At 44.8% G+C, this 14,513-nt stretch overlaps 2 annotated features.

Moving 5' to 3' along the window:
* Window positions 768-1,518: an enhancer, noted in NCBI's record as "H3K27ac-H3K4me1 hESC enhancer chr1:229125306-229126056 (GRCh37/hg19 assembly coordinates)". NCBI's record gives its function as "activates a minimal SCP1, AML or CMV promoter by ChIP-STARR-seq in primed H9 embryonic stem cells {active_cell/tissue: H9 hESC(primed)}" and the evidence as "EXISTENCE:reporter gene assay evidence [ECO:0000049][PMID:30033119]".
* Window positions 8,891-9,185: a silencer, noted in NCBI's record as "tiled region #10577; K562 Repressive non-DNase unmatched - State 21:Repr". NCBI's record gives its function as "represses a minimal TATA promoter and a strong SV40 promoter by Sharpr-MPRA in K562 cells {active_cell/tissue: K562}" and the evidence as "EXISTENCE:reporter gene assay evidence [ECO:0000049][PMID:27701403]".

Raw genomic sequence — 14,513 nt, forward strand, 5'->3', positions numbered from 1 at the left:
AGGGCCTGGTGACCTCGGCTGGCCCCTCATGTGCTGCTGGTCCATAGTGAGGGTGGAGCCTCACCAGTGTGGCCACAGGCATGCTCACAGGGAGCTGTCGAGTTTCTGCTGAAGTCCGAAGTGACCCACTTCAACCCGCCATGGTCTCTGTGAACCCTGGGATGGAGTCATTACTCTCCACATGGTTGGAATTCCTACTGGGGTGACTTATGAAAGTGGAACAGGCCCAGCTCCATTCAGTCAACACGTGTTAAGCACTGATGGGTGCCAGGCATTGTTCTAGGCACTGTGGCCAACAAGACAACCTAGAAGCTTTCATTCTTGTAGGGGAGGTTAATTATAAACAAATCAACAACAAAAACTATAAAAATGGTTATCTAAATGTTGGATGGTAATGGTTGCAAATAGTAGAATGGGAAGTATTTGGCAGCACGGATGAGATGGAGTGATGCCCTCCCATTGGGTGGTAAGGGACTCCTCCGAGGAAGGGAGGAGGACAGGCGGGTCTTGAAAACACGGAGGGCAGAGCATTCTAGGCAGACAAAGAGTACATGCAAAAGTCCTTCAGCAGCACCGTGTTCATGCCCTTGAGGACAGACAGCAGTCCCACAGGCTGGATCAAACGGACTCACGGCAAAAATGAAAGAAGTTAGGTAGGAAGTCAGGGCCTTTAGACTGTGGCGAGGAGCTGAGATTTTATTCAAGAGCCATGGGAAGCCAGCCGAGGATTTTAGGCAGGAAAGCTGCATAACCTGACTCCCATTTGTGAAAGCTTGCTCCTGCTGTTTTTGGAGAACAGACTGCAGGGACGAAAGGGAAAATGAGGAGACTCTTTGGCGGCTGCAGGAGGAGGTGCTGATAGCATGGACGCCACTGTTCTGATGTCCCCAGAGATGGGGAGCTGGTAGGCTTTTCTCTCAGCTCTGGTAGGGGGTGGTGCCATTCACTGAAATGGAAAGATGGAGGAGGTTAGGGTGGGCTGGCGCAGAAAACAAGCGTGGGTTATGGACAGGACAAGCCGGAGGTGCCTGTTAGCACCAAGAAGAGTCAGGAGCTCTAGCAAGAGGACTTTTTAACCAGTCTCAACTGAACACCTGCAGTGTGCCAGGCCCAAGCTGGCCCCATCTGCGGTGACTGCCCATGCCCTCTCATCCTCCTGTCCATGTGCAGCCTGACCCTAGCACCACCCGCTGGCCTGGGATTATCAGGCTGAGCCTGCCGCCATGAAGTCCTCCAGCCTCACCTGACCAGCCCCAGGCAGGATGTGGCGCATTCACGGGTAAACAAGTGAGGGAGGGACACTGGAGCACCCCACAGAGCATCTGGGGCCCTGCAAGGCCATCGCAGGCCCAGCTGTCTCTCTGGAAAAATGCCATGGACACTCTTGATCAGTCAGATGTTGGCAGTGACACTGCTGTCTTGCTTCATTGCATTTGCAAAATAAGCAAAGTTTGTAGTGCTCCCTGTCTTCTACGTGTGAGCGGGTGTGTTTCTCATCAACTCACTGCAGTTACAAAACCAATTAGAGCTGTAAAATGTGGAATGGCCTCTGTGTGAACAGCCTGGGACATCCTCAGAGCTCCAGAGCCCACTGCTTTGATGTCAGAGCTGGGGGTGGGGTGGGGTGGAGTGGAAAGGCCATGGGAAGGGAGCCGGCTCTGAAACACGTGGAGGCCAAGGTGGTAAGGTGGTAGTGATGTGGAGGCCTTGCCGATCAGGGGCCCACACACCGCACCCTGGCAGGGGAGGGCCGGGGGCTTTCTGTGCCTCACCCACAGATAAGAAGGAAGTGGGAGCCAGTGCCAGTCCCTCAGCTTCCTCCTTGCAGGCCTTCTCTGCTTGCCCTTTCTCCACATTTGGCCCAGACATTGAAGCTATGAGCCACATGGCAGGAAGTTCACAACTGCTGTGCTGACAGAAGCCAGAAAGGAGGCTGTTTTCTGGAAGCCTGCCCTGTGCAGGCCTGACAAGAGCTGGGGGAAGTTAGGAGGCCCTTGATGGGACCACGGCCATGCATGACACTGGGACCTCTTGCACTAGGAAGACATCCTGTATCATAAAATTCAAGGAACTCCGGAGCTGGCAAGGACTGTGGCAGTCATAACGTTCAATGTCTTCATTTCCTGGGTCTATGACGAAGACCCAGGAAAGTGAGGTGACTTTTCCAGAAGAGTGACAAAGGCAGAACAAGAACCAATTTCCTGACTCTCTATCCCAGAGCCCTTCACCAGTGACGGTGGGGATGCTCGCAAGCCTCCCAGGCCAGGGCTGCCCAGGCTTACTCAGGTCAAGGCCGTCAGAGGAAAGAATTATCTCTGCACCACCCCTGTCGCAAAGGGACAAGGCTGCTCTCAGATGGAGGCAACCTGCTGGGGACTCCTGCCACCCCAGCCCTGCTGGGCTCACCACACCCACTGGGTGTTGTATACACGCGTGTGTGTGCATGTATGCATGTGCATGCATATGACTGGGATCACTGATTCTGTGGCGTTCCAAGTCTGCGTGGTTTCTTAGAATCCATTATTGATTGAGGGGCCTGAAGAAGATGAAACCCATACGTTGCACCGCAAAGTTTTTTGCACTTCCTTATTCCAGGAGATGAGTTCGCAGATCCTTTCTTTGGCGAAAGGAAAGAAAACCACAATAGATAAAGCAACTTTCTTAGATCACACAGCATATTCACAATGGAGCTGAAACAAGTAAATTAGCTGGACTCACATCTCCAAACCTGAAAAAAACATAGTCACCTCTTTAGACATCAGATGAAGTATAAAGAAAATAGAAATAAAGGCAAAAGTACTACAGCTGTATTTCATGGGGACCCTGACAATTCTCATCAGATACCCGACTCCTGAGGTGTTAGTTCTGAAAAGTGGGCCAAACACTTGGCCCGGAGTTCACCTTTAAGGTTAGTTTAGCAGACTCTGAGAAGCACTAATTAAGACGTGTTAAGCAAATGAAACAAAGTAAAACAAGACAGTTATACAGGCAAATATGTTTAGGAAACCTTTGGTAAGCAGAACTAAATGGATTCTTTACAGCAGGACCTCTCCCACTCTCGAATGCTAACATGCACTGGGACTCTCCAAGAATAAGGTAGAGCAAAGGATAGTTTCTGAATTTATTTGACCATGGAATATTCTTCACCCATATCTCTGGTTGGTCAGAGGTTTTGCCAAAATGACTTTGGAGAGAAAATGTTGTTTTGATATAGTTTTCCAATGCAACCAAATAGGAATGGTCCTGTTTAAGAATGGAAGAGGTGCAGGAGTTACAGAATGGCAGAGTGAGGCCCTCCATAAGCCTACTCTCCCATTAAAATAACAGAAACACTAGGAAATGGTCAAAATAAACTGTTTCAGAACTCTGGAAATTAACCAAAGGCTGGCAACAATCTGAGGGCGTTTATTCAGGAAAAACTGTTGAACCTTGGTAAGAGCAGAAAGGTTTGTGACACTTGAACTTGGCCTATTCCCATCCCATTCTACCCAGCCCCTGTTAGCCATGATAACTAGCAGCCTCACAACCACAGGAATGGTAAAAACCAGCAACTTTGCAGCCACCAGAGGAAATAGACTGGGTTTGAAGCTCCTCAAAATGTCCCATCTGCAAAGCATTGTCATTATTTAGCTGTCCTTCCGACTTCTGGAGAAGTCCCATTTACCAGGCATTGTTGAAATTTGGCCTAACAGAGTTCACTCTGAAGAAAAACTCTATACCCAGGGGATTGGTCAAAAACCATCAGCAGCAATTGTGTATCACTGCAGCTGCCTGAGGCTGCACTGTCAGGTGGGACAATCAAGAGTCTGGCCAAAAATGTAACAGGAATAGCTGGGGAATGATGTTTCCCTGTGGGGCTTTGAAAAGCTCTGACATATTCCCAGGGATCTAAAAGGCTATCTATGCATGTGTGCAGGGTTGTGCACAAGCCCAGAAAAGACCCAAGAAGGTCCCAGTCTCTCAGCTCACCCAATCTCTGGCTAACCATAAGGCTCTGCACAAACAAGAAGTAAAGGTTAAAGCAGGGTTGTAAACTGAGCATTGAAGAGATGCCCCAGCACACCCGGGGCCCCTTGGCAAAGGGTGGAAGATCTACTGGCTCAAAGCATTTAAAGAAATTTCTGGCAAATCATTAGCTGACCAATAAGGTAACTGAACAGAAACGTCAGCAGTGGCACAATATACTGTGATGGCCATTATAAAAAGACGAAAGATAAACTGTTGGTGAGAATGTGGAAAAAAGGGATCCCTCGCACACTGTTGTTGGGAATGTAAATTAGTACAGACATTATGGAAGACCGTATGGAGATTTCTCAAAAAACTAAAAATAGAACTACCATATGATCCAGCAATCCCACTTCTGGGTATACGCCCAAAGGAATTGAAATCAGCATATCAAAGAGTTATGTGCACCCCCATATTCACTGCAGCATTACTCACAATAGCCAAGATATGAAATCAACCTAAGTGTTCATCAACAAATGAATGGACAAAGAAAACGCAGCATACAAACACAATGGAGCATTATTCATCCTTTAAAAAGAAGGAAATTCTTTCATTTGTGGCCACATGGATGAATGTGGAGGACATTATGTTAAGTGAAATAAGCTAGGCGCAGAAGGATAAATACTGCATATTCTCACTTATATGTGGAATCTAAAAACAAAAAGTCGAACTTATAGAAATAGAGAGTAGAATGATGGTTACCAGAAGCTGGCTTCCTGGGGGAGACATTGGTTAAAAGGTAGAAAGTTTCACTTAAATAGGAGAAATAAGTTTTTAGATATATTGCACAGCACGGTGACTATAGTTAATAATAATGTATATTTCAAATTGCTAAGAAAGTAAATTGTAAATGTTCTCATCACAAAAAAATGGTAAGTATGTGAGATGTTAGGTATGTTAATTAGCTTGATTTAATCATTCCGCAATGTCCAAATATATCAAAACTTTACATCATACTCCATAAATATATGTAATTACTACTTATCAATTTAAAAAAATGAAATTAAAAACAATTTCATTTATAGTAGTATCAAAAGGGACACATTTCTTAGAATAAACTTAACCAAAAAATACAAGACTTATACACTGATGACTACAAAACATTGTTGAAATAAATGAAAGGCCTAACTAAATAAATAGAAAGATTTCCCAAGGCCATGGATAGGAAGACAATATTATTGAGATGACAATTCTCTCCAAACTGATCTATAGATCTAACACAATCTTTACCAAAATTCTAACCAGCTCTTTTTCAGAAATTATTAACAAGCTGATCCTAAAATTCATGTGAAAATGCTAGGGACCCAGAATAGCCAAAACAATCTAGGAAAAGAACAAACTTGAAGTTTTCACACTTCCTGATTTTCAAACTTATTATAAAGCTATAGTAATCAGACCATATGGTACTGACATAAGGAAAACATAGATCAATGAAATGTAATCGAGTGTCCAGAAATAAACCCTTTATTTATGGTCAATTGATTTTTCAGAAGGGTGCCAAGACAACTGAATGGGGGAAAAATAGACTCTTGAACAAACAGTGGTGGACACAAATAAACAGTGATGTCCACAAATAAAAAAGTAAAGTTGGACCCTCTACCTCACGCCATACACAGAAATTAACTCAGAATAGTCACAGACATAAAGGTAAGAGCTAACGTCATGAAACCCTTTGGAAAAAAAACAGAATCTGTACGATCTTGATTTAGGCAATGGTTTGTTACATATAGCACCAAAAGCACAAACAACAAAAGAAAAAAATAGATAAATTGAACTCTGTCAAAGTTAAAATTTTTGTGCTGCAAACAATACTATCAAGAAAGAGGAAAAAAATAACCCACAGAATAGAGGGAACTATTAGCAAATTCACGTATAGCAAGGGATTTATATCCAGAGTATATAAAAGAATTCTTACAACTCAATAATAAAAAGACAAGTAATCCAATTAAAAATGGGCAAAGGATTTGAGTAAACATGTCTCCAAAGAAGACATATGAATGACAAATAAGAACTTGAAAAAAATGCTCATCATCATTAATCATCAGGGAAGTGCAAATCAAAACCACAATGAGATGCAACTTCATGCCCAATAGGGTAGCTATAATCAAAAAGACAGAAAATAACAAGTATTGGCAAGGAAGTGGAAAAGTTGGAACTCTCATACATTACTAATGAGAATGTAAAATGGTACAGCCCCTTTGGAAAACACTTTGGCAGATCCTCTAAATGTTAAACATAGACATGACCCAGCGTTCCACTCCCAGGTACATATGCAAAAGAAATGAAAATGTATGTCCACACAAAACTTGTACATGAACATTCATAGCAATATAATTCATAGTAGCCAAAAAGTGAAAACAACTCAAATGTCCATGAACTGATAAATGGATAAACAAAATGTAATATAACCATAAATGGAACATTTCTGTTTCTTGAAAAGAAATGAAGTGCTAATATGGATGAGCCTTAAAAACATTATGCTGAGTGAAAGAGCCAGACATAAAGAAGCACTTTATGTCCATTTATGTGAAAAGTCCAGAATTGGCAAACCTAAAGAGACAGATGTATATTAGAGGTTCCCTAGAGCTGGGGAGGAGGTTAGGAATGGGAATGACTATTCATGGGGTGGGGTTTCTTTTTGGGGTGACGACAACAACCTAAAATTACACTGTGCTAGTGGTTGCACAACTCTGTGAATACACCAACAACCACTGAATAATACACTTTAAATGGGTAGGTTTTATGATTTGTGAATTACATCTTATTAAAGATGTTTTAAAAAGCAATGGAAGAGGTTCAAACTAACCCAGGTTTTTGTTTTACCAGGTGCACACATGCATTCTAGCTTACCATGGGAGAAGAAAACCTATTCTTCTTTGTGAGATACTCTGAAATCATACTATGCTTTGCTGCCAGAGAGCTGACTAGAGAATAGCCCAGGAGCCTACCAGGAGAATCAACACGAAAAAAAACACACATTTTCCGTGGTGTTTCTCAGACTGGCTCTTTGCTTTTTTCTCTTTCAGCAACCTAGCATTCTCTTTTTATTTTTATCTCAAGCACATAATAACTCTATTAATTCTCTCTAAGTATTTCCAAGTGTAAGCCCTGCTGTGCTGCTTTAATGAGTAGATTCATTTATAATTAGCATTCATTTGAAATCAATATTTTTCTTGCATCCTTTAAAATCTAACTAAAATGAACCTTTCAGAAAAACATCTGTATTAACACCCTCCTGACTAGGCAATCTTAACTGTAGTCATTCCTTCATTCTGCACACTGGCAATGCTACTATGAACACCTTATTCAGTATTAATTTATATTTACTCACAGGAACACACCATTTAGGTAAAGGGGACAGTGGTGGTTCTTAACTGTGGCTGTAAAATTTTGATGTTCTTCTTATTGAAAGGCAGGATCTATGGCCCCCTCTTTGAGTGTGGGTGACCTTGCAATAATTTGCCTAACTGACCGTGGTGGAGGGGACACTGTGGGACTTCGAGAGTAAGTCAAAGTCATGTGGCTTCCACCTCGTTTTCTGGAACCTTCACTCTTGGAGCTCCAGGCTGCAAGGCAAAAGTATGACTTCCATGAGGCCATGATCCAGTGGGGAGCCCCAGCCCGTGGAGAAAGCACAAGGCAATGGGCTGGTTAGCAAGCCAAGCTCAGCTCAGCCTTGTGAGTATCAGTCCAAGCGCCAGCCATATGGGGTGTCAGGGGATTCCAACTCCTGGCCATTAGCGTGTTCTCAGCTGAGGCCCAAACACGGTGGATCAGAAACAAGCCAGCTCAGCTCAGCCTTGTCCAAATTCATGAGCCACAAAATTCATGAGGATCATAAAAATGGTTATTGGATTACTAAGTTTGAGAGTGTTTTGCTGTGCCACATTAGATAAGAGAGGGCACTTGGAAAAGGACTTCTCCAGCCCAATATTACCCGGCTGATGCTGCTGACCTTGTTAACAGGCCAGCAACTGCCCTTGAGGAACATGAAGTCCCACTTAAAGGAATTACCTTTGTTAATAGACTTCAGGCCCATTGGACACAGGGAAAGAATCTGGGTTCTTCCCAAAGTTTTTTGTAATTGGATATGGCTTTTAATTTGCAGAGCATTTGTAAATAATCTATAGAAGTCCTCTTGATTTTCCCAACTAGACTTTAAGTGTCTGGGGGCCAAGGAATGTCTTGTTTCCTTTGTTCTCTAACCCTCTGGCAGCAACTGAAGTAGAGCTTGGCATCTCACAGGGACTCGGTGGGTAGCTCGATTACTCCTGGAGCCCCTCAGGGCGGATGTCCTGTGTGACTTTGGATGCTTGATTACTTGGTTTGGCTTCTATGCCCATTGCTTTTAATCTGGGGAAGTGGCATGGGGTAGGGAAAGGGGAATGGAAAGAACTGGAAGTTAGGAGTCGGGAGACCAGGAGTTAAACCAGGCTTCTGGCCCTGACCACTTCTGTGATCTTGTCAGGCATCCACTTCTCAGAGGCTCACTTCAAGTCTAGGAAATGGGATCACAGTTTATCCCGGGGTTGCTCTGAAGTTTGAATGAAGTGCTATAGGTAAAAAGGCTTTTCAAATTAAAATCACTATGCAAATAAAAGTAAAGCATTATTATTATCTGTAGTATGCATTTGCATAAATTCCGTCTTCTCTAGGCCTCCATGAAATGGGGATAATAATAGTTATTACCTCTCGCCAGGATTACTGCAATACCCTCCTAACTGGTCTTCGTATTTCTATTTTTGCACTTTTAAAAGTCATTCTTTGCATAGCAGCTGGGCTATCTTTTTAATAAGCAAATCATGCCACATCCTTCTCCTGTTTAAAAATCCTTCAATGGCTTCAGATTGTGCTTAAAATAAAATTGAAAGTCCATGTCAGAGTCCGCAGGGCCCTGTACCATCTGGCCCCTGCCTACTGTTCCGCCCTCCACCCTGAACGTCCCGAACTCCAGCGGCACTGCCTTCTCTAGGTTTCTGGAACTTAGCAAGAGCTTGACAGCCCCAGGACATTTGCACTCACTATTCATGGCTGGTTTCATCTCCTGGTGCTGGTCTCAGGGTGTACATCAGCCCTTTGAAGAGAGTGTCCTTGACCACTCTTCCCAAAGTAGCCCTCAACTGATTCTTAATCACTTTCTAAAATAATATTGTTCAATGTTTACTTACTTGTTCTCTGTTTCCCACCACTAAAATGTGAGTTCCATGAGAGCAGGGGCCTTGACCCTCCTGTCAAGCGTAGCACCCAGCACACAGCAGGCCTTCAATAAATATTTGTTGATGAATGAATGAGTAAATGATTGAAAATATCAGAGTCCCCTACCCTGCCCACCACCACAGTATAGAAAGTTCACATCTGCTCAGTGCTCCAGGGAGAAAAGCCTGTGGAGAAGAGGATGACAGTGGTGATTGTGTGAGGTATCATTATGTGAACCAGATGTGAGGGCTGCTGGCCCAGAGTCCCCGCTCCCCATGTGCTGGGCCGACCTGCGTTCATTGGCTGAGATTACCCTTATGAGGAAGGGCAGCATCAAGCGCAAGTTCTTCAGTAACCTGTGGCCTTCTCGGGTCCTTGGTCACAATGGCTACTTTTTTTCCCCAAGAGCTCACAAGTGCTGTCACCGAAGCTGACATCACATTCTGGCCAAGGCTCAAGACCAGAACTTCCTGCTCTTAATTCTAGCCCAGTGCATTTTTTTTTTCCTGAGATGGAGTCTCCCTCTGTTGCCCAGGCTGTAGTGCAGTGGTGTGATCTCAGCTCACTGCAAACTCTGCCTCCTGGGTTCAAGCGATTCTCCTGCCTCAGCCTCCCAAGTAGCTGGGATTACAGGCGCACGCCACCATGCCCAGCTAATTTTTGTATTTTTAGTAGAGACGGGGTTTCACCCTGTTGGCCAGGATGGTCTCAGTCTCTTGACCTCGTGATCCAACCACCTCGGCCTCCCAAAGTGCTGGGATTACAGGCATGAGCCACCGCACCCAGCCAGCCCAGTGCATTCTTCAGAGTCATTCCTCTCAAGATTTATCCGTGACATCTTTACAATGAGGACAGAGCTCCTCTCCTCAGATAGGGCTGTGATAGGACAAGCAGAAAATGGGTCAAGAAGGGGAGTAAATGCATGCAGGGGAGTGGGAGACGGCAGGCTTCCTGCTATGCTTGCTGCTTGCAGCTGTCACACCCACACATCATGTCCCAGGCTTGTTAGTAGATAGAGGGAAGACGCTGTAACAAAGGGACCCCAAAACATGTGGCCCAGAGTGTGGGTAACGCTGCAGCAGGTCATCATCCAGAGGCCCGGTTCCCTTTCACGAGCCCTGGGGAACCATCCTCAATCACATGAAGCAGGGGTGAGTGAGGGGCAAGCGTGGTCCTGTTAAGAACATAACTCAGAAGTAGACCACATCACTTCTGCTTGCATCCTTTTTGTGCAACCTTCACCTAAGGGCCATATCTTGTTCAAGGGAGGCTGAAGAACGTCATATCCCTGTGCGTAGCTGTGAGCCCTGTGCTCAGGGGCTTCTGTTATCAAGAGCAAGAGGGTGATGAATATCAAAGGACAATTTATAGTCATTATCTCACTTTCAGACAGTAGCTGAGCAAACTTTGAAGTCCCTGGAACCGTCCCCAAACATGTAGAGGTGACTTTCACAATGGAATCAAGAAGGCGGAGGAAAAGACAAGCATCGCTTTAAGAAAACTGAAAGAGATATCCAAAGTTTTTTGGCAAAACTCCTCCAAAATACTACTACCTAATTTTTTTTCTGTCATGAAAACATCAATTTTCACTACAATCTAGTAGTTACCAGGATCATGACCTTTAACAGATTTATCCTTTTTGGATTGAACTCTTGGATTTTGGATTTTAGTCTAGGGGGAATTTTTTTGAGATGAAAAGTTTGAAAACACTCCATTTGGCAGATTCTAGAGCAGAGAAACAAAAATCTCTCTTATGTAACATATTTTGGGATTTCTTTACATTTGGTTAACTCAGGGGTCACTGCATTATTACGAACACTTGGGGCATAAGGATGGGCATTGGAATTTGTGCTTCATATTACAAACTATTGCTGCTAAGAATTCCCGAGCATAAACCTGGTCAGCCCAGGATACAACTGGGCAGCTTTTCAGACAGTACATCTCGCTTTTCTGTTTACCATATGGGAGAGCAACATGAAATGCCTGGAACATGTATCTGTAAGGCATGCTAATTGCAGCATTGCTGCCGGCCCACGGGCTAGGATGGAAACAGCAGTCTGCTTGCCCTTGGGTTGTTGTTATTGTTCTTGTTTTTGTTTTCGTTTTTGCTGTTCTTTTCGGGGCCTCAGTTTCTGACTCTATGCAATGAGATTAGTCATAACTTATGGGCATCTTGTAAAAATCATCTACTTTTGTGACCTGGCAGATCTTGTTTTTTTCTCTTCCATGGTATGAGAGGGTCACACTGCACCAGAGTTTACCAGACTGTATTTTGGGGATCCCCAGAGTTCTGTGAAGGTTCTGTTATAGTAGGTAGCTAGTCAGGCATGAGCAGGACAGGAGGGGGCTCCCCAGCCAGCCCTGACACACCCACCAGAAATGTCAGGTGACCATCAGGTGACAGGCAGCTGGCTGTTAACGATCGCTCTAAAATAGTAATTGGTCGCAGCCAGCGCCAGGCAAGGGCAGTCTCCCAATAGATAGAAAATACCTGAAACTGGTGATCAGCAGCTTCCAGATAAGATCTCAGGAGTTGGGTGAGTGGACCCAACACGCGCACTAAAAGGCAAATGGCGGCGTTTAACTGGTATATGACCTTCTTCTAGGAACGCTGGACTGGTAAGGGACAGACGCCTCAAGTGGGCATGTGCATGACTCCAGTAAACGCACTGCACACAAGACCCCTCCCAGGTGCTGGCAGGCCACTGCACATGCAGACAGCCAACCCCAAGGGAAGAATCAGGGGAGATGTACCACACGACCCCAGAAACATGCCAACGTATAAAACCCCAAATCAAAGGCCAAACCCTGCACTGGACCTCTCAAGTCGCCTGCTTGGCCCTCTTCCAAGTGTACTTACTTCCTTTCATTCCTGCCCTAAAGCTTTTTAATAAACTTTCACTCCTGCTCTAAAACCTTGCCTCATGGGCGGGTGCATTGGCTCACCCCTGTAATCCCAGCACTTTGGGTGGCCGAGGCAGGTGGATCACCTGAGGTCAGGAGTTCGAGACCAGCCTGGCCACCAATATGGTGAAACCCCATCTCTACTGAAAATAAAAATTTAGCTGGGCGCGGTGGCATGCACCTGCAGTCCCAGCTACTCAGGAGGCTGAGGCAGGAGAATCGCTTGAACCCAGGAAGCGGAGGTTGCAGCGAGCTGAGATCATGCCACTACACTCCAGCCTTGATGACAGAGTGAGACTCCGTCTCAAAACAAACAAACAAACAAAACACCTTGCCTCAGTTTTCCCTTACACCTTATGACTTATGCCCCTCAGTTGAATTCTTTCTTCTGAGGAGGCAAGAATCGAGGTTGCTGCAGACTGCACAGATACGGATTTGCTGCAGTAACAGTACCTCAGATCTCTCTGGCTGGTTGGGCTAAGAAAGGACGCCAGGCTTACCTTGTACAGCTCACTTTGAAGCTCTGCTGTATTTGTTTGATAATCCGAGATGTATGATTACACTGGAAAAATAAAGGGCTTGATTCTTTAAAAACATCAGCAGGCTACCATGCTAGAATAATCTTTAAAATCATTTCTAGTTCCAAAACTGTGAGAGTCAGAGAGGTCAGAGAAGTGAGCCTAGAAGATAATGTCTGTTGACAGCTGCCAGGTGTTCAAGGTGGAGCCGGGAGGTAGCAAGGTGTGGAGGAAGGATGTGGGTGATGTGTACATAGGAAGGCATCTGCAAGCAGCTGGTGGTGAATAAACCCTATAGGGAGGCCCTCTAGGCTCATGTGGAAGGAAATGGATCTTGGAGTTAGGAGACAGAAGTTAAGAGCCAAGCTGCTCTTCCATGAGTCAAGTGATCTCCAATGAACTGCTTACCCTCTGAGTCTTGATTTCTTCATCTATGAAAGTCAGGAGGTGGGGGTGGGGGTATTAGACAAGTCCATAATACCCTATGCATATTTCTAAAGTTCCCCAAACCAAAAAAGTATTTATCCACTTAGTACTAACTGTTTTGGTGGCAAAATTTCATATGAACAAACAGGAGGTTATATATATTCTATATGTATCCCTGTCTAAGTCTGTTTTGTGCTGCTGACCTGAGGCTGGGTAATTTATAAAGAAAAGAGGTTTCTTTGGCTCACAGTTCCACAGGCTATACAAGAAGCATGGCGCTGACATCTGCTTTTGGTGAGGACCTCAGGAAGCTCCCAATCATGGCAGAAAGTGAAGGGGGAGCAGGCATGTCACATGGCAAGAAAGAGGGAGCAAGAGGGCGGGGAGAAGGTGTCAGACTCCTTCAAACAACCAGCTCTCAGCTCTCACGTGAACTCATAGAATAAAAATCACTCATTATCTTGGGGAAGGGCATCAAGCCATTCATGAGGGATCAGCCCCCCATGACCAAACACCTCCCACTAGGCCCCACCTCCAACACTGGGGATCAAATTTCACATGAGGCTTGGGGAGGACAAATATCCAAACTATATAAATCCCTCAGTGCAATTACATATCTATATCTAGACATCTATCTCTACACACACGCATCCTGTTTCATTTCAGAAGTGTTCGTGTGTTTAATTATGGGTGCTATGTCAGACTCACTCAGTGTTCAATAATTTGTGGTATATGCATGCTTGATCTTTCTGAAATCTGAGGAATCCTGAAGTCCAAACACATTTGTTCCCAGTAGTTTTAGATAAGGGGCAGGAGTCCTGTAATACTTCTTGACCTGCCCTTCAGGCCTGTGGTGCAGACTGCACAAGCCACTAGCCATGGCACACATGGTAAGCTGTGAAGCCCCGGGTATAAAGGACAACATTCCCCAGGGCCACTGCATTAGTCTGCTAGGGCTGCCATATCAGAGCCGCTTAGACTGGGTGGCTTACACAACAGACATGTATTTTCTTGTGATTCTGCAAAGCTGGAAGTCCAAGATCAAGGTGTTACCAGGGTAGCTTCTCCTTGGCTTGCAGTTGGTCATTTTCTCCCTGTGTCCTCACACAATTTCCCTGTTTGTGTTTGTGTCCAGTCTCCTCTTCTTATAAGGACACCAGTCAGATTGGATTAGCCCATCCCTGTTTTAACTCAATTACCTCTTCAAGATCCTGTTTCCAAATACAGTCACATTCTGAGGTCCTGAGGATTAAGAATTCAAGATGAATTTGGGGGGACACAATTCAGTCCATGAAGTCAACATTTAGGCCATTCCAGCCGCCAGGTCTCCTGGCTTAGTGTTTAAACCTGTGACTTTCTACGCTTTACACATAACAGCATACCTAAATTCAGGCAAAAGCTGGGTGGTGATGGAGACATGCCTTTCCTGCCTGCAAACTGTGGCTGTATGATTCCCCTGCGGGC

The sequence above is a fragment of the Homo sapiens genome, chromosome 1 (genome assembly GCF_000001405.40).
Source record: "Homo sapiens chromosome 1, GRCh38.p14 Primary Assembly".
Classification (NCBI taxonomy): Eukaryota; Metazoa; Chordata; class Mammalia; order Primates; family Hominidae; genus Homo; species Homo sapiens.